Source organism: Homo sapiens, chromosome 4 (assembly GCF_000001405.40).
Source record: "Homo sapiens chromosome 4, GRCh38.p14 Primary Assembly".
Taxonomy (NCBI): Eukaryota; Metazoa; Chordata; class Mammalia; order Primates; family Hominidae; genus Homo; species Homo sapiens.
This window is the reverse complement of record NC_000004.12, coordinates 113,450,022-113,474,926: the sequence shown is the minus strand read 5'-3', so window position 1 is coordinate 113,474,926 and position 24,905 is coordinate 113,450,022. Positions and strand designations below refer to the sequence as shown.

Below are 24,905 nucleotides of genomic sequence, written 5' to 3'. Positions count from 1 at the left end.
GCCTGTAATCCCAGCACTTTGGGAGGTCGAGGCGGGCAGATCACCTGAGGTCAGGAGTTCAAGACCAGCATGGCCAACATGGTGAAACCCTGTCTCTACTAAAAATACAAAAATTAGCTGGGTGTGGTGGCAGGCACCTGTAATCCCAGCTACTCTGGAGGCTGAGACAGGAGAATCGCTTGAACCCGGGAGGTGGAGGTTGCAGTGAGCCGAGATCACACCTTTGCACTCCAGCCTGGGGGACAAGAGCAAAACTTCTTCTCAAAAAATAAACAAATAAATAAATAAATAAACTCTTGACCTGAAAGATATATGCTCCGTTTTGACTAATATAAAATTGATTAGCAGAGTTAGTTGAAATCATTACAGCACCCAGGGGCAGCTGGATTGCTTTCATGACCAAAAAAAAAAAAAAAAAAAAAAAAAAAGGCCAAAAAGGACTTTCCAAATATTTTAAAACTTTATGACTAATTGGTCTCATTGTCTCTTTTCCACGTCTGAATTTTTTTCTTTCAAGAAAATAACTGTGGCCATCACCTTGGTTACACAGTGGAGAGAAGAGATACCCTTAGAGAATGCTTAGAACATCTCTGATCATGCAAATGTGTAAACTTGAATGCCAAGAGACTTTATAATCTTAAATCTGAGCAGAGGATGTGAGTCTTTGACCAGTTTCTTAAAATCTTTTTCTTCCATGTCATCAACTCTTAACTGGAAATGGTACCACACCTATGTGATTCATGGAACATCTTAATACTTGAAATACTCAATGGTATTCACAATGCTGTGCTATTTCTAGCTTCTGCAAGTCAGCTGGGGGTGGCAGAATAGTTACCCAATTACTTTAATGTGGCTAGAGTGAATTCTTTCACATAAGCAAATGTTCTGTGTAATCATAGTTTCTTTAGACTCTAAAACATTTATTTAAGTCATTTTTTAATGAAAATCTTTATAAATACTTTATACCTCCTTTAATTTAATAGTAAATATTTTATTTCCATTTCCGGTCAAAGGTAATTTTAGGAATAACATGACCATATTTTACTGTAACCCGTGATATCCTTGCAAACTAAAAAAAACATAAACCTATTTGTACTTATTCTAAATGATCCCAATGCTAGATCTTTCTGATCTTAAAGATTTGTTAATTATTTATTATTAGGCTATAGCAATTTAACAGGGCTAAGACTGATATTACTTCTTCCCCAGTTAACTATCATTTTGTACTATGAAACTACTCTGCATTATATAGCAAAGTTCAAAGATGGTTTGAATAATTTATTTATTTTTTTTAATCCTGAAAGCCTCTAGTAATTAAAGGGTGAAAAGTTGATGTTATTCAACAGGTGACTTCTGGATAAAAGAGGTTTACAGTAAACATTCGTGAATAGAAATTTAGTAATTGCCATGTCTTATATTTGAATAAAATATTAAATCACTCAACTTTAGAATCTGTGATAAGTTTGATTTTAAAAGCCAAAATTATGAAAATTCCTCTCCCCAACATTAACTGCTACATCAGTCTAGTGAAGTAAAAATAAAGTCACAGAGAAACAAGCCGCTAATTGCACAGAGAATGCCAAATATAACTGAATTGATAGGCACCTTTTTCTGTAAAACTACCAAGAGCATAATTTGTATAGTTGCCTAAAATAGTAACTATTCCCAAGGGTTAATTTTGTTAATGGCAGCATGGAAAAAGACAATAAAACCACGGGGCACCCAGTTGTGTGAAATTGATGTAATAATTAATTACACCCTTAGCCTAGTAATTAAGTAGTCAGTCACCTTGCCAGAGTAAGTTCAAAGGCATTTAGGTGGTTCATTTAAGTTTATGATTTCAAAATATTGAAGTAAAGCACTGTGGGCTGGAAAGGAACATAGATCAGTGAATTGAACAGCAGAGGGGAACCTTAGCCAAATAAAGCTCTAACCCTGGCACAGCCTCTGAATTTGCTAGATGACTTGAGCAAGTCACTTAACCTCCTTGTCCTTCAAGTCTCTGACAGCCAAGTACCCAATAACCTGTAAGAAATGTAGAAAGAAGGATTTAAATTAAATAGAACTAGACATATTAAGAAAGTAAATAAATAGAATTGCTAACTTAAGATGATACAAAAATTGTTGCTATATAACAATTTTAATTGCACAGCTTTTGATCATTGAATAAGTGCTTTTTAGGCACAATTCACTAAAAGATTTCAACATATGACACTCTGCAAACATCCCAGTGAAGACACATTTGCAGGTATAAATTCAGTTTATTTTGTGGTCCAAGTTTCATTGTAGTCAGCTAGACCTCTCAATAGGGCTTATCATCAAGTAGTTTCACTTCAATGAACTGATTAATCCAAAATCTAAACAACTGAAAAGCTCAAGCTCAAATACTAGAATTTCTTTGCACTCAACCCTCTTGAAAAGAAATATTAAATGTAAACATTGACTAGAAGTATCTGGTTTATCTTACTAAACTTTTAAGATTAAATCTGCTGCTATTCCGGCATCTGAAATACTGCAGCCTCATAAACTTTGGTCCTGATGCAGACTCTGAAGTATCCAAGGTGCCTTCTCAGCACCGCCACATCCAAACTGCTATCATACATGATAATTGTCTACATACTTGCATTTATCTAGTGATTTAAAATGTACACAGTATTTTATATATATTGTCTAACCATATACTGATATTTATTCATACATGCATGCATTTATGGACGTTGACTCAGTACTAGGTGTTCAGACTATAAACTGGTCAAGTTCTAGTTAGATATATGAACATCCCGTGATAATGCAGTAAGATCAAAGTAACGTAAAGTAGCTGGGTCTGAAGCACGCAGGAAGAGCAATACAGACAAAGTGACACTTGAGCAAGGTATTGAAAAAGATTTTCAGGCAGAAGAGGGAGAGCTTCTGGCAGAAGGAAAAATGGCAGGAAAAGTACAGTTATCAAAGAGCCAGGACTAGCTGAGGAAAGGTGAGCCCCTTGGTGTGGCTGGAGAATATATAAAAGCCCTAGAGGACAAAAAGTGTCAAGAGATAAAGCAGGAAAAGTAAGAAGATCTTTAAAACAGAGAACTTTGGGCTTCAGCTTCTAGACCATGAGAGGAGGGGGACTAGAAACCTTAAAGGGGTGGGGGACAATGGCAGCTCTGTTCTATAGAGTGATGATTCTGCAACAGTGAGGAGTGAGAGAGGCCGGTGTGGGAGACCTGGGAGCAGGAAGGGTCAGGAACTTCCGAGAGCCTGAATCAGAGTAGTGGCAGTGAGCCTAGAGAGGAAGAAATGGCTCTGAGAAAGAGTTGGAAGAATGTAGAATGGCTAAAGATCTATGAGGAATAAAAAGAAAGGAGATAGCAAGGCTTCCAGTTTGGGCAGCTGAGTAGATTATGATGCCACTATCCAAGATGAGAAATTCCAGAGAGGCATCAGACTTTGTGAGAAAAATACTGAGGTTCATTTTGGGCACCCTGGGTCTGAAATGCCAGGACAAATTCAGATGTTTAGAATGCAGTTAGAAATATGAGCATGGAGCCTAGAAAGATTTAAGGTCTCCGAGATAGAGAATTGGCAGTCTTCAGCATGCGGTCAGAGCCAGAGGAGTGAATGAGATTGCCAAGAGTAACCAAATGAAATAATTAAGAGGCTAAGGATGTATCCTGGGAAACATCATCAGAAGTGCTAAGGAAAAAGAATGATCCATGGAGGATTGGATATGGAAACAAAGAAAGAATTGAATCCAGAAGAAACCCCAGGTTTTGAGCTGGGAGACTGGCAAAATTGTGGTTTCATTAGCAAAAATGAGTAAGTCAGGAAAACAAAGGAGTTCGATGATCAGTTTTAGACAAGTCAAAAAGTGTTTTCTGTCATTGTCAATAAACGATAAGACATACTACTTTATACTTAAATTATTTCCATTTGTCAATTTTATATTTCTTAAAGGCTGTCTGGTTATCACCAAATAATGTACCATCATATATTTTAAAAAGGTCATTGGATTGGGAATCGAAACCAATTGAGTTTGTTCTGGACCTACTATTCATTCAAATACTTATTAAACATTTCCTATATGCCATGCACTGTGTTATCTGCTAGAGATGCAATGGTGCAGTACCACCCTTCTAGAGTAATAGAGAAAACTGATTAATCGGTTACATGCAAATAAATATGTAAATACAAGTGTACTAAGTGCTTTTAAAAATCAGGTGCCAGCTATGTATGAATTCATAACATCGCGGGGACCTGACCTAACATGAGGCTCAGGGAAGACTTTTTTTTTTTTTTCTTTTTTTTGAGACAAAGTCTCGCTCTGTCACCAGGCTGGAGTGCAATGGTGCAATCTCAGCTCACTGCAACCTCCACCTACCGGGTTCAAGTGATTCTCCTGCCTCAGTCTCCCGAGTAGCTGGGACTACATGTGCGTGCCACCACACCTAGCTAAGGTTTGTACTTTTAGCAGAGACGGGGTTTCACCATGTTGGCCAGGATGGTCTCTTGACCTCGTGATCCACCCGCCTCGGCCTCTCCAAGTGCTGAGATTACAGGCATGAGCCACCGCGCCTGGCCCAGGGAAGGCATTTTTGAAGAAATAATAGTTGAATTGAGATCTGATAAAAGAAGTAGGAGCAAAATGGGGGGGGTGCAGTTTTCCAAGAAGAGAAGACAGTACATATAAAGGGCTGGTAATAGGAGGCAGAATGTCCATTTTGAATTGGTAAAACAAAGGAGCAAGAGTGGATTGGAGAAGATAAAGTCAAAGAGTCTGAATGAGTCTAATGAGATGGGCAGAGTCCAGATTACGCAAGGTTTTGTAGTCTCTCTTCAGGTACCTATCCTGAGAGCAGTGAGAAGGTTTTAGAAGAGTTCAAATAGAAGGTTATCTGAAGAGATAGGCATTTAAAAAAAAGAAAGAGAGAGAGAGAGGTGGTTGCATTGTAGAGAACAGAATAGTGAAGAGCAAAATTGGTTGCAGAAACACTAAATCAGAGGGCTGTTACAGAGCCTGGACAAGAAATGATGGGTGCTTATACCCAGAGAGAGTGGGGGTGAAGAGGAAAAAAAGTCAAAAAGAAGAGGAAGGCAAATTCAACAGAACTTAATGGATTGGCTTGAGGTGCTGGATTTAGGGAGTCAAATATGATCCTCAGGTTTCTTTCTGGCTTATGCAACTGAGAGATGATCTTGCCATTCACCAAAATGGGGATCCATGGAAGAGCAAGCAGGCTTGTAGTGGTGGAAGTTCTTAAGCTCAGTTCAGTATATGTTGGGTTTGAGGTCCATTTGAGATACCCAAATGGAGGCTCAAAAATAGCCTTGACACATAGATCTGAAGGAAGAGTCTAGAAAGGAGGTTAACAATTTGGGAGTCATTGGAATATAGATGACTATTTAAAACACTGGTGTACACAGGACTTTAGGGATGCAGCATGAGATAAGGAGAGGGACTCAAATTGAGTCTTTAGAAGGAATTGAAGCATTTAATATCCAGGTAGAGAAGGATAACATGGCAAATGAGAATGAGAACATGTAGAAAAGCAAGAGAGTTAAGTAAAAGGAGAGTGTTCCAAGACAAGAAGGTGGGAAGGAGTGATCAGCAAACTCCATACCTTTGGGCAATGCGCATAATCCCTTTATTTATCTGTTAAACCAAGAAATAATCACTGCATTCCTGAGTATTGTTATAGTAACCAAATCTAATGTTTGAGGAAATGTTGAAATCTGTAAGTTGTTTTATTATGTAGTTACTCTCAGTTCTTGGGTTTTATTTTGTTTTCAAACACTGGGATCATTCACACCCTTATCTTACTCTTCCAGGCCTCTTAGAACAAGAGCCAAAAATATATGAATTTGAAAGGGAAAATGTTCCCAATTCTTTGTGCATAATTGCATGGAAAGTAATTCCACTCAGAACCTGGAACATCTCTCCCACTTGGTTTTCTCTTTTTCCTTTTCCTAAGAATCTAGAAATCGCCAGAAAGTACTTTGTGTCCTATGAGTATAGGCTTGAGCACTTCAGTTCTAGAAATAAACCTAGTAGGTAAACAGCTTCCTGCGATTAAATGGCTAGCTCTGGAGTGGAAGAAGCTTCTGGTATTCAGGGAACACCTTACTGGTACATTCTGCATTCATCGTGGTATAATTAGGGACACATCACAAGCTCTCCACTTTGACTTTTGGAGTGGTTATTTATTACTTGGTGTTCAGGAAGAGGGAAGGCCAGATGAGAATGGACCCCCTCCCCACACAACTTGTCTGTCCAAGCCACTGACACAGTAACTGTTCCTCAACCTCACTGCTGATTGAGAGTAGAGCTAGCTAACACCAAACCCTCGCTCTTCCTCTAGGTCAGATGCTGGGCTTGTGGCAACAGTTCCAACAACAAGCTGACTACTATATACAAATGATTCATTTCCAGCCTTCTGCTTTCCTTTAAAGAGTCAGCTGTCATGTGCCGCCTGTGACTCACTCAAGCTCCTTTGCCCCAGTGAAATAAGCACTCTAAAGATTCCTGAGTTCCAGGCCCCTCCTAAGCCAAACGAGTCACATTGTTTTTATGGTGATACAGCACAGAAGCATCCTGGCTAATTCCCATTTGTTGTCCTGCCAGCAAAAGCACCATCGTTTCTAAGCATAAGAAGTGAGAGAAGGCAATTTGTGTTGCTTTGTTTATGCAGGACAACCCTTAAGCCAGTTGTGGCATGCAAAATACTTAAGAGTGAATGCGTATTTCCACAGTGGTTCAGAAAGTAAAAGATGGCCATATACACCCGATGATTCTAATTCCATATTATGCTTGTGAGGCAGTGCAGAGACTTTCAGAAACTTTAGGAAGTGATCCTAAACTCTTCACACTCTATAAACTGAAGCCTACCCTAATGAAGCTCCACGAAGGACGTTGATCTTATGCTCATTTCAAATTGGCCATGTTTTCTAAACTGTAGTTTTTCCTATCAGCTGTATATCAGACCAAAAAAAAAAATCTGTTAGTTTGAAATGAGGATTTCATGTGAGAGAGAAGTTTTGGTGGCCACATTTTTATAATCTCATTTTCTGAGATCCTCCTCACCCGTATCCCTTATATTCCAGAATCGGGTCAGCTGTCATTAGCTTTTGCCAAATGTTCATACTGTTGAGGGCACAGACAGATGAATCACCTATTGCCTAACTGAATTAAGCTAAAATGTGTCACTGGCAGGATCCTTATTACAAAATCATGCCCTGATACCACTTCTGTCACTATGTTTTGCTGTTGAATGTATTATTGATATTCATCAATCAAATGAGCAAGGGCAAGAAATGTTTTGGACTTCTGTAGGAGCTGTGTTATATTACTTTATATAAATGAAAAGTAATTATGTAACTAAATATGAATTCTAACCCATATAGTGATTTTTTAATATTATAGACCTTGACATTGTTAGCAACCATATTATGGACTAACTTAATCACATTTTATAGGATAGTTTATTACTTGTATTTGTTATGATATAGTCTCATATAGTCTCGATGAAGTAAAATGTGGTTTATAGAAAATTTATTTTTAAATAATGTCATCACCTAGGTAACCTGAAGTTTCAGAGTGAAAGTAAGCATTTAAGCTTGTGGTTAAAATCTGCTTGATGAAGATCAGATTCATAAAAAATGCAAACTGGTTTCTTTAGTCAATAAAGAATAAAACCTGAGGTCAGCTTTCTTCGTGATCAATAGCCTCACTACCTCAGTAAGATAAGATGGGAAGTAACATTTTGTGATTCCCAGTCTATGTTCAGTGATTTTAAGGGAATATCGCAATATTCTTAAAATCCAGTAAAATTTGATTTCTAAAATATTTCATGCAGTAATTTTATAAATAAGAGAACAGTGTTCTGAAATCAAGAAAAGTTTATTAGTCTCAATTGATTAAATTCACAAACATTGAGCATCTATTCCATAAAAGACACTGAACAAAGCTTTTTAGGCTATACAAGAAAATAAAATGTTCTTTGCCCTCGGGAAGCTTTTAAGTTAACAAGGAAGACACATTACACAGTACAGAAAGTTTAATAACAATTTAAAACAAGTAATAATGTGTTTTAAACTAAAGAAGGTATCAAGAGATAGCATATGCATAATTGCCGAGTGATACAGATGCTGCAGGCTTTCAAAAAAGAGAAAGAACACTTGAGGCAGATGTCAGTAGAAACAAATTCACTGAATAGATAGGATTTGAGCCAAACCACTATTAATAATTTCACCAATTATGGGCTAGGAATAGAAACAAATCATGATTGGTGTTGGGTTTGACAGCTATACCTGGAGGCTTTCATCTTATTATCTGCCTACATCTACAGTATTGATTCATATGTCACTTCTTCAATTTGTAGAGTTTACTAAAGGCCATTTGTCTAAAAACAAAGGCCAGTCACAGTGTCGGCATCCTTTTGTAGAGTTTGTCAAGCAGAAAAGTGAGAAAATGCAAATAATTATATAAAGTTCAATATCTCAATGCAAGATATCATCTTTACTCTGAAGATAGACATATTATTAGAATGATACTTTTTAAGATTGTTTTTAATAACACTTGTTAACTATGAAGAGAAATATGTTTACTAATCCAATCAAGTTAAGGTAGTAAAAACTAATTTTATTTTATTTTATTTTATATTTATTTATTTATTTATTTATTTATTTTTGAGACGGAGTTTTGCTCTTGTTGCCCAGGCTGGAGTGCAGTGGCGTGATCTCGGCTCACTGCAACCTCCACCTCCCAGGTTCAAGCAATTCTCTTGCCACAGCCTTCCCAAGTAGCTGGGATTATAGGCATGCGCCACCAAGCCCGGCTAATTTTGTATTTTTTTTTCAGTAGAGATGAAGTTTCTCCGTGTGGGTCAGGCTGGTCTTGAACTCCTGACCTCAGGTGATCCGCCCACCTCGGCCTCCCAAAGTGCTGGGATTACAGGCATGAGCCACTTTGCCCAGCCTTAGTAAAAACTAATTTTAAAAAACATAGCCTTGACCGACCTTTCAGGTGACTGTTGTTTTCAAACAAATGGAAAATAGCAGTGCTTTCCAAACATGAATGTACTCAGAGGTCACCTGAGAGTCATGTTAAAATGCAGATTCTGGCAGGGCACAGATCACACCTGTAATCCCAGCACTTTGGGAGGCAGAGGTGGGAGGATCACTTGAGCCCAGGAGGTCAAGGCTGTAGGGAGCTGTGATTGCGCTACTGTACTCCAGCATGGGTGACAGAGTGAGACCCTATCTCAAAAATTAAAAATGAAAAAGAATATTTAATATGACTTTTGTCTTTTATTCTTACCCAACTCCATATTTTTGCCTTTAGCACGAAAGCAAGAGATTATCAAAGTCACTGAACAACTGATCGAAGCTATCAACAATGGGGACTTTGAAGCCTACACGTGAGTAGCGGACGTTTACTTTGCTTTCATGCATATGGTAAATATATTTTTTATATGAATGCATTATTCAACATGTCTGAATTCACATATATTTAATTCAAGGTTTGATATGTTAACAATAGTTTTATTTCATAAATGACTAAGTGCCCCTAGGAGAGAAAAATTTCAGAGAAAATTTCAGAGAAAAGATTTCAGAGGCCAGGCACAGTGGCTCACACCTGTAATCCTTGCACTTTGGAAGGCCAAGGTGGGAAGACTGCTTGAGGCCAAGAGTTCAAGACCAACCTGGGTGACAAAACAAGACCCCGTTTCTACAAAAAGTTTAAAAATTAGTCAGGCATAGTGGTGCACACCTGTAGTCCCACATACTTGGGAGGCTGAGGCAGGAGGATCACCTAAGCCCAGGAGGTCGAGGCTGCATGGAGCCATGGTCACATCACTGCACTCCAGCCTGGGTGACAGAGTGAGACCCTGTCTCAAAAAAGAAAAGAAAAAAGATTTCACAGAGAGAAGGCTTGACTTCTGATCCAACGATTGGAGATTTCTTTGTAAATATACAGATGTATAACCACTCCCACATCACACATACAGAAGTCCAGATGAGAAAAGGTCAGTCCAGGCAGAGCAATTCATGTGAGCAAACACACAAAAAAATATGAAAGTACATAAAATGTGCATTTCAGCTTAAGAAATGTTTTCCCTTGCAGTTCTGCAGAGGTTCTGGGGCAGAGAAAGAGATTAGGAGGTGACATGAGGCAGCCTTCTCTCTTCAGCCAGTACAGCTCAACTTTATCTGCATCTCTTTTATATGTTTGTATCTTAAGGAAAACTTTACTTGAAGAATGGGTTTTAATGCTTATTTAAAGTTTATAAACTCCTGGATCATAGGAACTATGAAGGAAATTACTTTGCTGAAGTTAAAATAAAGCATTCAATTTAAATAGGGCCTTCTCCTTACACCATGCAACTAATGAGTTCCACCCCAGTGAAAGACTTAAAATGCAAAACGGAGATTGAATCTGATCTCTGGCTAGAAAGATCCAAAAGCTGAAGATATAATCATAAATGAGAACATAATATGATTATACCTAAATAGATAAAACGTGTATACTTTAATTAAAAAACCAAGAATAAAAGAGACAAACTTAGAAAAACATTTGCAAAACATATATCAAAATTTAATTTTTTATATTGCGTGAATATGATTGAAAAGTAGAAAAATAGGTAAAGAACATGAACTGACTATTATCAGAGGAGGAAATATAAATGACAAGTAAACTAGTAAAGGCATATTCATGTTTACTAATTAAGTATACACAAACTTGAATGCAAGAGCCTCTTCTCCCTATAAAGTCAGCAGAGATGTAAATTCTGCTGATAGCCAGCAAGGTGCAGATACTGCAGGACAATGGTGACTTTCCTCCACCATGGAATAAAACACAATTGGGTGCAAACTTTCAGGGTGGTGGTGGTGGCAGATATGGGGGGATTAGTAATATATTTTGTTGTATAATCTGTTATTATATACCTGAAAGCTTTTATAAAGTCTCACTTTACTGTAATACTATAATTCTACTTATAAGAATTTAACAAGTATAAATTTTTTATGTAAAACATGAACAAAAATTTGTGAACAAAGATATATACTGAAGCAAAATTCATAATAGTGAAAAATTGGAAACAATGTATATGCCCAACAGTACCATTCCCATTAAATCATCTTTGGTACAATGGTTATGTTGAGTTTCTAGCGACCTGGAAAAATATTTATGATGTTTTTACTGAAAATTAAGCAGGACTTAAAAGACTATGTACATAATTATTACAACTAAAAAAGTAAAAGGTATTAAAAGTGCCAGGTGCGATGTCTCACGCCTGTAATCCTAGCGCTTTGGGAGGCCAAGGCAGGCAGATCACCTGAGGTTGGAAGTTCAAGACCAGCCTGACCAGCATGGAGAAACCCCATCTCTACTAAAAGTACAAAATTAGCCAGGTGTGGTGGTCCATGCCTGTAATCCCAGCTACTTGGGAGGCTGAGGCAGGAGAATCACTTGAACCCAGGAGGCAGAGGTTGCGGTGAGCTGAGATCGCACCATTGCACTCCAGCCTGGGCAACAAGAGTGAAACTCTTTCTCAAAAAATAAACAAATAAATAAATAAAAAGTATTAAAAGTGGAATGAAACATGCCAAATTAGATTTTAAAAAGAAAAAAAGAAGTTGCCTCTGAGAGGTAAAATTATGTGTGAATTTTTTTCCTGCTTTTTTATTCTTCCCAAATTTTACATAAGCAAGTATTACTTTTATCATTAGTTATAAATAAACACAAAATATAAAATATGGACGAGATTAGCTAAATGTAAGACAAACTATATCAGGAGCTTCTTCTTATAACTTAAATATGTGTGCATATATGTATAAACACATGCATATACTTATGTATGAGTGTATCCATTCTTTATCATGACCTAATAAGACATACTTGGAATAAAAGAAATAGTAAAAATTGGAGTTAAGAAGAAGTCTGTTTTCAGAGACAACCGTTCCCTATTAAACAATTGTTTATAGCTGTGCCATAGAACCTGCTTTTTAAAAATTCTTGTTGCTGTTATATCCTTGTTAGATACATATGATTATCCAAAGAATAAGATTATTCTCTTTTTTAAAAAATCTTTTTTTTTTGCAATAGCATTTCCTTGTGGAATGATAAAAAGTTGTGTTTGTTATTGTTAAAAAGAAGTTGCCTCTGAGAGGTAAAATTGTGTATGAATTTTTTTCCTGCTTCTTTTATATTCTTTCTAAATTTATAAACAGATACTACTGTTATATAGGGAGCAATTGTAGCCAGGCAAAAGTGTATGTTTCCTATATTCTCAGTTTAAAATAGGGTATTTTAAATAATGCTAAACCTTGGGATCATACCAGTTCACTAATATCTTTGCCTATGGAGACTTATAATCTGGCCTGATTTTGTACTTTCCAGCCAGAGCTAATCCAACAGGGCTTCCATTCGAGAGCTTTTGGGATGGTAGAATGTACTGGTGGATCCCTGTCAGCTGGTCCTTAGAACACCTGTTCAGATCACACACACCCACATGTCAAATGGCAGCTTTGTGGATCTTTCATTAATACAAAGCCTTTTATGGGGTAGATGGATGATTAGATAGATAGATAGATAGATAGATAGATAGACAGACAGACAGACAGACAGACAGACAGACAGACAGACAGACAGACACACACACACACACACACACACACACATTTCCAAATATACTGACTCTTTTTCATGGCTGGGTAAGAAGATCCATCATGGCACAGTGATTCCCAGATTATGTTAGTACTGATGTAAGGCAGTAAGAAATTTTGGTTCACTGATAATGACAACCAAAAACCATATTTATAGAGGAAGTAATAGCCCCTGGCAGAATAAATTCTTGTTACCATAGGAACGCTGTTCTTCCCATTTTGCTTCTTAGAAAGAGACTATATATATTTGATTTTAAGCTTAAAAATGCCTGCCCAGCAGGCAATCTGAAGTGAAGGTTACTGTAATCCTTGCCCCCATCATCTTTAAGGCACAAAGGATATCCACTGTGATTTCTACTTTTTAAAGGTATTCTTTAAATAACACCGGTTCCACGTTCTATAAACAGTACTGCACTTTGAGGAACTACAGTGAGTTAGACTTTTGAAATTTGTATTTCTGTTGAACATTTAAAAAATTTTGCTCCCCCTCCACCCAAATGGGGAATTTCTCTATGAAATTAGATGTGGCCCCATCCACTGTATTACCCTTTGGGGCAAATTAATAAACAGTCCAAAATCCTTTGATTTGTACTCCATTTGATCTACCTTGTGAACTCCCATTCATTCTTCAAATCCAGGTCTTGTCACCTTCTCTGAGAAGCCTACCCTGATCACCATAGGCCCAAAGGAAATATTTTCTTCTCTGCATTTCCAGGGGCCTTACACACATAACACAGTGACCCTGCTTTCCATATCAAGCAACCAGTCATCATTCCCCAAGCATACTCTGCATTTTCACAGCAGCAGACCATTGCACTTGCTGTCCTCCCCCTGCCCACCACCTCCCACACACCTGGAAAACTCTTACTCATTCTTCAAAGCCCAGCTCAAATTTTCTTCCTCTCTTAAACCTTTCCTGTTCATCTATTCTAGTATTGATTATTGTATAATTGCTTGTTTTGAAGAATATCTGCCACATAGTAAGTGTTCAGCAATTCTTTACTGAATAAATAAATTTCTCCAAAGAAAGCTCATTGGTTTTTTCCAAATATTTAAAATTGTGCACCCCTTTATTGAATCATATTTCTAGGATTAAGAAAGAAAACCAATATGAGCATTTGAACCTTCTGTTGATTTCATTTTAAAAATAAAATAAACTTAAACACAATAATAAGATGTAAGTCTTGTGGACATTGCCAGGAAGTGTAGGGTGTGATACTTTCTTTCAAGTCAATTGTAATATACATGTTTGACATGAATGTAGGATATGTGGTCCATCAAAAATTATTCCAAGGCTAAGCATGGTGGATCACCCCTGTAATCCCATACTTTGGGAGGTCAGGTGGGAGGATCACTTGTGCCTAGAGTCCGAGACGAGCCTGGGCAACATAAGGAAACCCCATCTCTACTAGAAATAAAAATTTAAAAATTAACCCAGCATGGTACTGTACGCCAATACTCCCAGCTACTAGGGAGGCTAAGCCGGGAGGATTGCTTGAGTCTGGAAGGTTGAGGCTGCAGTGAGCCATGATTGCACCAATACACTCCAGCCTGGGCAATGGAGCAAGACCCTGTCTCAAAAATAATAATAATTATTATTATTATTATTGCAGAAGTATTTAATTTCAGAATCAAAGATAGTTTTATAGGATTTGGAGAGTGTCTTACACTTGGACAATAGGACTTGGAGAGCATTTTTAAAAAATAGTAAACCTCAATCAAGAGTTAGAAAAACTGGAAAATTCACCTTAAAAATAAAAAAGTAGAAATTATAAAAAGGGGCCTCCTAAAATATTGTGTATTATCATCTGCTTGAACTGGATAAATTAGTTTGTTCCTATCAGAGTTCTCTGCAAAATGTCTTTTTAAGAGTCTGCTCCTCAACCCACCTTGCCAAGGTTTATGATAGAACTTTTGTATGTAAGTGTTTTTAGAGGCTCTTTCCTTCAGTGACTGGTAAATCAGAATGTTTACACATGAAACAACAAAACACATTAAAGCACCTATTAATTGGTTGTTTTCATTATTTTTCTTTTACAGAAAAATCTGTGACCCAGGCCTTACTGCTTTTGAACCTGAAGCTTTGGGTAATTTAGTGGAAGGGATGGATTTTCACCGATTCTACTTTGAAAATGGTACATTTATTCCTAATTTAATAACATGCCCTTTTTAAACCTCTCTGAATTTTCCCAAATTTGCAGATTATTTTGCTCTTTTCTACAATGAGAGTTTTTACCTTCATCCAGCATTTGAAACCATACAATGGTTTTGTATTCAAAATTGAAAAAAAAATATGTCAGGCTTGGCTTACAGTTTTGGTGTGTTTTAAAAAATATCTTTGTAAAAAAATTAATGTTGACTGGGCACTGTGGCTCATGCCTGTAATCCCAGTGCTTTGGGGGCCGAGGCGGGTGGATCACTTGAGGTCAGGAGTTTGAGACCAGCCTGACCAACATGGTAAAGGCTCATCTCTACTAAAAATACAAAATTAGCTGGGCATGGTGGCGCACACCTGTAATCCCAGCTACTTGGGAGGCTGAGGTATGAGAATTGCTTGAACCCGTGAGGTGGAAGTTGCAGTGAGCCAAGATCGCAAGCCTGGGCAACAAGAGTGAAACTCCATCTCAAAAAAAAAAAAAAAAAGTAATGTTGATTGAATACACTTCAAGCAAGTTGCAGTTAATGTATAATATAAGCTATAAAGCAGTTACAAAAAATGTTATTTCACATTTTCATAAAACTATATATAAAAAAATTAGGCAGGCACGCTGGCTCATGCCAGTAATCCCAACACTTTAGGAAGCTGAGGTGGCAGGATAGCGATAGTTTAAGGCCAGAAATTCAAGACCAGTATGAGCAACATAGTGAGACCCCATCTCTACAAAGAATATAAAAATTAACCAGTCATGATGACAAGCACCTATAGTCCCAGCTACTTGGGAAGCTGAGATGAGAGATCACTTTGAGCCCAGGAGATTGAGGCTGCAGTGAGCTATAATCATGCCACTGGACTCCTGCCTGGGTGACAGAACGAGACCCTGTCTCAAATTTTAAAAATAAGAAAAAGAAAAAATAGGAGGAAAAAATTTTTAAAAACCACACCATGCCAAAATATTTAACATAGAAGAGTGCTTTCAAGCATATGTGATGCTTATTTTCAAAGTAAAATGAAAATGAAGGTGAGTAATCAGATAAATCTTTCAATTCAAATTTTAAGACTTGTGGTAGTTTCAGAGGAAACAGCCACTTTTCAAAGAAGGTGACAAAAGAAGTTCATCCTGCAGAAATCCTTCAGGTCATCAAGAAAAATGTAAACCAGGAATTCCCTTTATCCTTCTCTTTTTCCTTACACCTAATGACATTAGACATTATGCTGTGTTTGCATCTTGCATTAAGGGAATTTACTATTTTTGCAGAGATCTTATTGAATTAAAAAAGAAATGTATTATAGGAATGATTAGGATAATCACATCACTTTCAGTAATTATAAGCTTTGATAAGAATGTCTGCCTTGGCATGGATTTTCGAATTAAGATGTGTTGGATGAGTTACTTTTTCTTATATGCATTAGACATTTACAAACAAATAAACAAAAAGAACTATTTGATAAATTCTCTTTAACAAAATTTCAGTAAATGTTATCATATTCCCTATATTCCAGTGTTCTGATAGCATCTCATGTTTCCTCCAACTAACTCTCTATCGACACCATCTGATCCCTAATGAAAGAATTAACTCATTAATATTTTAACCTATTTCAGTATAACACTATATATCATGTTCCATAAATATAATTCCTTCATAATGGGGTATTTAGGTGACTATAATAATATTTTATATAATTTGAATAGATGTTTTCTGAGAATGGAAAGCATGTTTGGATAATAGCCAAAAACAATTCAACCTTTTCTAGTGATCTAAGAAAGAAACAGCATCAATAAGTGATGTGCACTAAATCCTCCTCGTATCTCTTGGTGACTGAATAATTAGAATTGGTAACTACTGTCAAAACCAGAGGCTGGAGCATAGTGAGGGCTACTCAGTCAAGGGAAAGAGCTGGAAGACCAGAATCAGGCTATGTGCCAACACCACATTTTGAATGTTTATCAGATGATCACAGTGGACTATCATGGAATGGACTCTAGTATGTGGAGGAGTCAGAGAATGAGATGAGAAACAAGTTCATAGGCTTGTTCAAAGGCTACCACCAGCCTTATTTTGAAGACAGTGATGTCTATACCTGAAACTTGATATATTTCCCTTCTCCCACATACTTCACCAACTAACAAAAACAACCACCACCACAAGATCCCTGGTCAGCTGTCCCAGCAGTTCATTCCTGGAAAAGACAGGGGCAGTGCTTGGCACACCTGGGCCAGGCCTTCTTCACTTCTATTCATGTTGTGATTTCTGTTTCTAACCACTTTCCATTGTAAATAAATATATCTCTCCAGCTTTTTCACCCAATCAAAATTTCCAGAGAGCATATAAATGCCTGTAAAGGAAACCAGATAAAATAAAGACTGTATCCACTTTCATTCTTTTTTTGCTTTGTACAGTGCCCAGTACCCAATTAGTACAAATAGTAGATTAATTAACTAATTAATTAGTGAGTGAATAAATGTCATTTCATTCATTGGTCCTAACTGAAGTTATTACTGGTTTTAGTTTCCTTTACATAGAAACTAAATTTTGCTTTTCATGTTTTTCTCTTTCAGCTTTGTCCAAAAGCAATAAACCAATCCACACTATTATTCTAAACCCTCATGTACATCTGGTAGGGGATGATGCCGCCTGCATAGCATATATTAGGCTCACACAGTACATGGATGGCAGTGGAATGCCAAAGACAATGCAGTCAGAAGAGACTCGTGTGTGGCACCGCCGGGATGGAAAGTGGCAGAATGTTCATTTTCATCGCTCGGGGTCACCAACAGTACCCATCAAGTAAATATTTCCAGGCTGTCAGCTTCTTTGTTAATACACCCATGGTCAGCTCCTTCTACTTATTCCATTGTTAATAGCATGGTATATGTTATTTAACGCTAGTAGTTGGTTACACTGATGAAAATAAATGCCTTCACGGGAAAGGTTTATGATTCTCTGGAAAGATCAATCAGATCAGCCATTTGTGGGTTGAAACTTGCTATAGAGCAGTATATGATAGGTTTAGACAGGACGAGAGACTACGTGATCAAAATCTCACAGGGTTAAATCTAGAGGACTTGTATAATAAGGCAAAATATTTGTGACTTCATCTTCTCAATTGACAGAAGAAGGGGATATCAGAGGAAAACATAGGGAGGAGTTTCTAAAATGGCCAATATATTATCAGGAGTTTCATTTCATAGATGATCCCCTAAAGCTCAGTTAGAGAGACAGCATTTAAAAGGCCATTGTCAGGTAGTGCAATGTCATTCTCACCTCACCACTCTACCTCAGATATCATTTGCTTTTCCAGTCAGCGATTAGGCACATATTTATTGTGAATCACCTAGGTGCTTAATCTGTGCCAGATTCAACACAAAGTACAAGATATTGCTTTCAAGAAACATGTATTCTCATTTAGCCAATCATTGATTCTAAAGAAAAAAATGATATAATAAAGTTTATCATCAACTTCAGAATACAGTAGAGTTAATGAACAGTGTAGTAAACTGTTTATAACAGTTTGGAAGTACACTTTGTATATAAGATAGAATTTTGGACAAAATCTTAAATGATGAGTAGAATTTAGAGACATAGACTGAAAAAGCAAAGGAGGATGGATAGTCCAAGCTAAATGAGCATCATGAAGAAAAGTACAATATCAGGATTTAGTTTAATATGATAGAACATTATTGGTAAGGAAGGCCGGTTACAACTAAAGAGGAATAATTGAAAATAGGCTTATTGGTAAAGTGGAGTGAGATGAAAACAAGAAGAGTTTAAACTCAGTGTAGAAGTTGGGTCCACTGTTGATCTCTTTCCAAATTCTCTCACCAGGATCACCTGTTAATATTTGAGATTTGGAATGGGGGTTCATACAAACAGCCATTCAACTCACTCCAGAGAATCCATCATGATTTCTTAGTTTGGTAGCATACCACAGTGGTTTTCAGAGGCCTTCTGTATAGCCTTAATAATTATATATCACTGTTAGATTTGTAAAAAGTGGGTCAACAGGGACAAAAATCAAACCAAACCAAACAATAGGCTGAAATTTATTCCCAAAACCATAGCTATGTAATTAAGAGAAAAACACAAGAGGAATATGAAGATAATGAAGACACCCGTTTTTGTGTGTTTTTCACCCCAAAGAGGTACAGCACAAATCGCCAGTTAATATAGAAGGGGTTACATTCATACAGTACCAGGGGTTTAGGTTTTTTTGCAGTTCCCTGAAGTGTTTATGGGATGAAGCCTATTCAAGAAAACTTCATTTTATGCCAGGTGGCTTAAATGGGGCTTCTCTTAATAGGCCACCCTGTATTCCAAATGGGAAAGAAAACTTCTCAGGAGGCACCTCTTTGTGGCAAAACATCTAAGGCCTGAAAACCATTCACATATGGGTCTTGTAAGTAACATCCTGCTCCGTGATACTTTGTGACTGGAGCTGAATGAAAAGCTGCATGGCTGTTTTCCTTCCTTTTGAGGATATTTTTTATTGCATAATATTCAATGAAAAACGCACAAGGTCTTTGAAAATTCATAGCAATTTTGCATGAGCTTTTGAATCTAACATTCAGCCCTATTTGGTAGCATAATCCTTATTTTAAAGGTAATAAACACTGAAAAGAATTTTTTCCAACATGTGGATTGTGTCATGTTAGAATCCTGAAGTTTTCACATCAAAAGTAAATTATGTCTGGGTCAGTTCAGATAACTCTCAATTATCCGGACTTAATTTATATTAAGCTTTAGAATCCTTTGGTGTCTTAACCATTCTTTCAAGAGGTTGCAGTTCTGTAAGCAGCTGGCTATGGCGAATGTGTAAATCAATTTGCTGTGCCTGACTGAGTATAATGGTACTTGACCATGAGGACAGGCCACAGGAGGAAGTCAAGCTGAAATTTAAAACTCACAAAATGGGTAATTCCAGAGGATAATTGAAAGTTGACTGTAATTAACTTCATGCTTTTGTTGTTGTTTTTAATTAATTGTTTCTTAGACTTGGGTTACAAGCATTCAGATATGTATGGTGCTGTTGTGAATATTTGCCTCATTCAGAGAACTAAACCTTATCAGAGCTTTTAACAAATAGTGCTCCCAGCTGTTGCTTTCAGCAAAGGAGATCTCCAATTAAAGAGAGTAATCATGTTCTCTCTACTTTCGAGACTATATTCCTTGTTAAATTGACTTCTAGGTTTCATTTCCCAAGGAATCTAACAATAATAACAGAAGCTAAGGATGAACTTGAATTTTAAGTCTATTTCAACAAAAGGATTATATTCATTTACTAATTTGTCCAGTAAACAGGAATGCTTAAGATGTATACTTAGATTTAATAATGTGACTGAAGACTGTGTCTCTGTCTCTTTATTTTTAGCTTAGCTTTGTGTGAAAAAATAATTAATACTGATCTTCTAATTTAATACTCTCTTTGTGTAACATTGTATGTTTCTTCTTGTAATGATCACAAGCAAACATCTCTTATACATAGTGTTTTCAATCTATTTGTTAGCCAAGTTATAAAACTGTAGCCTAGTCAAATCTATGGCAAAGCAATTTGATGATATTTTGTAAAACAATATAATTTATTTCTTCCTCCCCCTTTCTCCTTTCAGCTAAATTTCAACAGTGCCACTTCTGCATTCTCTGTTCTCAAGGCACCTGGATGGTGACCCTGGGCCGTCCTCTCCTCCTCTTCATGCATGTTTCTGAGTGCATGAAGTTGTGAAGGTCCTACATGTAATGCATATGTGATGCATCATCTTATCATATATTCCTTCCTATACATTGTTTACACTTCAACTACGGGGATGTTCCACACAAACTTAAATTACTGTTGGCAAAACAATAGGGGGAGATTAGACAAAAAAAAAAATCCACAATATTCCAAGTACAACTCTTCATCAAGTTTCTCTGTTAATGCCAAGATTTAACAGACTTAAGAACTATTGTTCTCTGAATGACAGTTGTAAGAGAAATGTAAATTTTTTAGAACTCTTTGCTGTTAATCTGTTTTGGTTTGTTTGGTTTTTTTTTTTTTTTTTAAGGTAAAAAAAAAATACACCTTCAGTTTCCTGGTGTGATCCTGGTTAAAATGGATGATTTTTCATTGAAAGTTTTGCTGATTAACAATTAAAGTGGGATGATATGTGGGCAAAATCACTTATGAAAGTAGAAGCAAGAATCAGTTGGTTTGCTACCACATAAAGCCATGCTGTTTTTGGTCAAACTGTGTAAACTGGAAAAATTCACATCATTTCTGAGTTTAATCACTTTAGGATATATTCACATTGTTTTGGTGAATTTGCTGAATTGAATTGTTTTTCTTTCTCAAATCTGTGATCTCTTTTCTTTATCCTGTTTCTTTGTTCCTTTCGTTTGCTTTCTTATTTTTCTTTTGTTCCATTCTTTTCTTACTTTTTTCCCTTTTCCTTTTTTGGGGAGGCTGGCTAGTAGTGTGTGAGAAAAGAATAGAAGTGAAATTTGCATAATGAATGTAAAAGGGAAATAAAAGTCTTTTGAAGGTAGCTATACTAGCACTTTTGATCATCTTCAGGGCCCACAAAAATGTTGTCAAGATTTTAAAGGTTTATAATTCTGCTTAAGCTCTAGTTTGGACTTAGGTATCCTAACTATGTTGGAGGTATTTGCATTGTTTAAAGTTAGGATAAAAGCAAGTTCCTCCTGTGACTGCAACGTCTTACTGATTGGGACAGTTGCCAGGAGGATACCAACTTGATAGCAGAGGGGGTTTTATGCAAACGCACTCACCTCCGCCTTGGGGAATGAAAGGGTCACTTCTGCATCATCACTAGCTAGTTTTCTAGTGTTAGAGAGGCTTACAAATGTTTGCCATTCTCATAAGTGTTTTGAACTTGATCTTTGTGACTTGTGCTTTTTTAGCTTCTCTCTTGAATCAGAGTATCATTGTCTTCCTCCAAGGAGTTAGAATTTCCCAGTTTAAAACAAAAAGGGAAATGTCCTAGGTTTTCTTTGTGCTTCTCATTTTTCCTTTGTTGATTCAATTCCTGTGATTTTTGTTCTCTTCCCTGAAGTGCTTTACAGTGCATGGAATCTCCATCATTGTTATTTTAACGATAGTAATTCACAGTCCTCAGAAGCCTATTTTTAAAGCAGAAGCAAAAAAGAAAAACAAAATAACAAAAACAACCCTTCCTCTTTTCTCTCATCTCACCTCTCTGTGTTGATTACTAATCATCTTAGATATTATTGCTAGTGGATGTATGGTAGATGGGTTGAAGCTTTTCTGATAATTATTACACAATTTAAAACAACATATATATTTAAAATAAATATATACAGTAAATATATTGAGCCATGTTAACCTGCCAATGAGATCTGTGAAAAAATAATGGCCTCATTTTTCTCTTTTTAATTTCTTTTACCCTTTTGTGAAGCAGCTATACGTGGCATACATGTATTTAAAGAAAAAAAAATAGATGTAGAGTGTTTTTTTTACACTTTTAACTTAGCATGTGGTGTTGAAGTATTACTGTAGATCAAGTTTGTCTTCCGCACTAAGATGTGAGGAAATTGTGATTTGTTCTCTCCACCACAAATGAATTACACATTTATTATCTTCTATCATTTTGAAACACTGCAGTTTACCATGGGACACTGTATATATTTCTTGCCATAATGGTAAAGGACTGATTGATATATTTAAGAGTTAATAAATTTGTGATTTCTGCTGACAGTGCGTCCATCTTTATTTCTTCAGAAGAGGTACTGTATGTATGCCTGCATAGTGCTGGCCAGTGTCAAGGGCAGTGTGTCCTACTCTGGTCTCATTTAGTACATAACAATTTGCACTTGGTGAGAATGGCAAGTTAATTGTTCTCTGTGAGCAAAACAATGGTCTCTTCTGGGAAAATGTTGCTGAGAACAATATAGTTAACAACTAAGACTCCTAAAAGCTTCTCTAAACTGTACCCTCCAATCCAGCCTTCACATGGCTGCTTTTTTTTTTTTTTTTTAATACGAACCTGTCCTTGTAACACTTTGATGTTATCATTTCTGGGATACAGGCAAGCACCCCAGCTCCTGCTACTCCCCAGCTTGAACTTGAGCATACATGGATGCTCAGCTTCTTTTGATTTGCTAAAAACATCACACTTGCTCACATGCCTGTTTATGCTGTTCATGTTGTTTATGTTTCTTACCTAGAATAAATAGTCTCTTCCCCTACTTCTTTTCCCGACTTCTTACTTTTTCCTAAGATTCAGTGTACAGCATCATGCTCCACAGCAAACCTTCCTAGGCCCTATTCTGGGCTTGCCTTCCCTCTCAAAACCTACATAATAGATTGTATTTACCTCTCCTGTCAACCACATTGTTTTGAAAATATATTTCTATTTGTGTCTCCTCTACTGCAGTATAATGTCTCCATGGGCAAGAACTGTGTATTCATCATTGCATTCCTAAACCCAAACCAAGGCCAGGAATGGAGATATCATTGATAAATAGTTGTTGAATTGAGGCCAAGCCCTTTTGATAACAGAAGCCTCAAGGGGTACCCAGATAGTCCTTGTTTTAATGATGGGTTCTCTCACCACTGTCTTGATGCTCTGAGCAAGTTACCTCTTCCCTCTGACCCTCAGTTTCCATATTTGTAAAATGAGAATAAACATACCAACTTAATAAAGATATTGTGAGGATTAATGGGTACAGAGTGACTAGAATGATATTTGATAGAAATTAAATGGTAGCAGTATAACTATTCTGATCACTGACATTAATATTCCTATTGTTATTATTCTTTGCTCACGAGGGTATACAACTCTTGTTTTGCTGTTGGGCTGCCCTCTTTATGTAGGTTTACTGTTAATGCTGAGGATATACTCGGACTCAAATGTCTCAGCAGAAGGCTGAGAGACACCAAATGAAGTGGTCATCTAGCTGAATGTAGGAAAAATGAAATGTAGTAGCAAATCAGTATATTCTAAGGAAATTTTCAAGGAATATTAATCTTCACCCAAATTTTGAATTTTTATGTAAAAAATTATAATTTAAGGGTAAACATAGATGACACAGCTTTCGAGTGATTTCATTGAATAAAATTCTACTGACTTCTATGAACCTTTCATGGCTCTGTGGTCTTTTTATCAGATTTTTTAAAGGTGAGAATGTACAAAAAGATTACAATGAAGATCAGCGTACTAGACCATGTGTCCATGAACTGAACAACAGCTGTCATAAACCACCCTAACCTGAGAAAGCAGCAGGAAGCATTTACAGCATTCCTGCTTTTCTCTCAGACAAAACCAATTCTCAGAAGAGAGCTAGAATGTTCTCCTGCAGACTGGAGTAGGAAAAGTTGATAACAGATTAAGCAGTAATTGTACTCCAGAAGGATTTGCATTTAGGCTTTTGCTGCTTTACAACAGAAAAAAAAAATTCTTGTTTGTCCGTAAAAAGTGTTTTTATGTTTTTTTAAATGTCACCAACATTTAAAAATTGGATATGTCATGTAAAAGTCAAGATTTCTGGCTTAATTAATTTGAAAAAGTGTAAGGTCTGCCCCACTGGTTCTGTGTTCACTACAGCAGCAGTCAGAGAAGCTGCTGCCTGTTTCAGAAGGGAGCAGGCACTCCCCTATCCCCACCAGGCACACACATACTTCACATCTGCCCCATGAGTTTGCTGCTGGCTCCTGTGGACACTGAAGACTTTGATCTCTTTCTTTTTTTCTTTTCTTTTTTTTTTTTTTTTTTTTTTGACAGTCTCACTCTGTCACCAGGCTGGAGTGCAGTGGCACGAACTTGGCTCAGTGCAGCCTCATCCCGGGTTCAAGCCTCATGCCTCAGCCTCCTGAGTAGCTGGGATTACAGGTGCATGCCACCACACCCAGCTAATTTTTGTATTTTTATTAGAGACATGGCCAGGCTGGTCTCGAACTCCTGAGCTCAAGTGATCCACCTGCTTGACCTCCCAAGTGCTGGGATTACAGGCGTGAGCCATTGCGCCCAGCCAGCTTTGACCCCTTTCTTAAAGCCAAAGGGCACCTCTGTTGGCACCTCAGGCCCCAGTGAACAGGTATGGGCATTGGTTTGTAGAGGGATTGTTCTCAGCATCCCTAAAACCATGCT

At 37.0% G+C, this 24,905-nt stretch overlaps 1 protein-coding gene across 54 annotated transcripts in view, besides 1 other annotated feature; it reads left to right on the top strand.

Annotated features, from left to right (window-relative positions):
- CAMK2D (calcium/calmodulin dependent protein kinase II delta) overlaps positions 1-23,895 on the top strand; it is a 310,707-nt gene extending 286,812 nt beyond the window's left edge. For 23 of the 54 annotated variants that reach the window (NM_001321578.2, NM_001321577.2, XM_017008674.3 and 20 more), the window contains 4 exons: positions 9,323-9,398; positions 14,686-14,780; positions 17,364-17,592; positions 20,412-23,895. In NM_001321578.2, coding sequence (NP_001308507.1) covers positions 9,323-9,398; positions 14,686-14,780; positions 17,364-17,592; positions 20,412-20,415 — 404 coding nt within the window. In that variant the 3' untranslated portion in view covers positions 20,416-23,895. Of the gene's footprint in view, positions 1-9,322; positions 9,399-14,685; positions 14,781-17,363; positions 17,740-19,105; positions 19,202-20,411 lie in introns of those variants that run through there. The other 31 variants (NM_001396964.1, NM_001321571.2, NM_001321574.2 and 28 more) reach the window with 4 other exon arrangements.
- Positions 22,091-22,638: an enhancer, noted in NCBI's record as "NANOG-H3K27ac hESC enhancer chr4:114373445-114373992 (GRCh37/hg19 assembly coordinates)". NCBI's record gives its function as "activates a minimal SCP1, AML or CMV promoter by ChIP-STARR-seq in naive H9 embryonic stem cells {active_cell/tissue: H9 hESC(naive)}" and the evidence as "EXISTENCE:reporter gene assay evidence [ECO:0000049][PMID:30033119]".
- Positions 23,896-24,905: the final 1,010 nt, after the last annotated feature.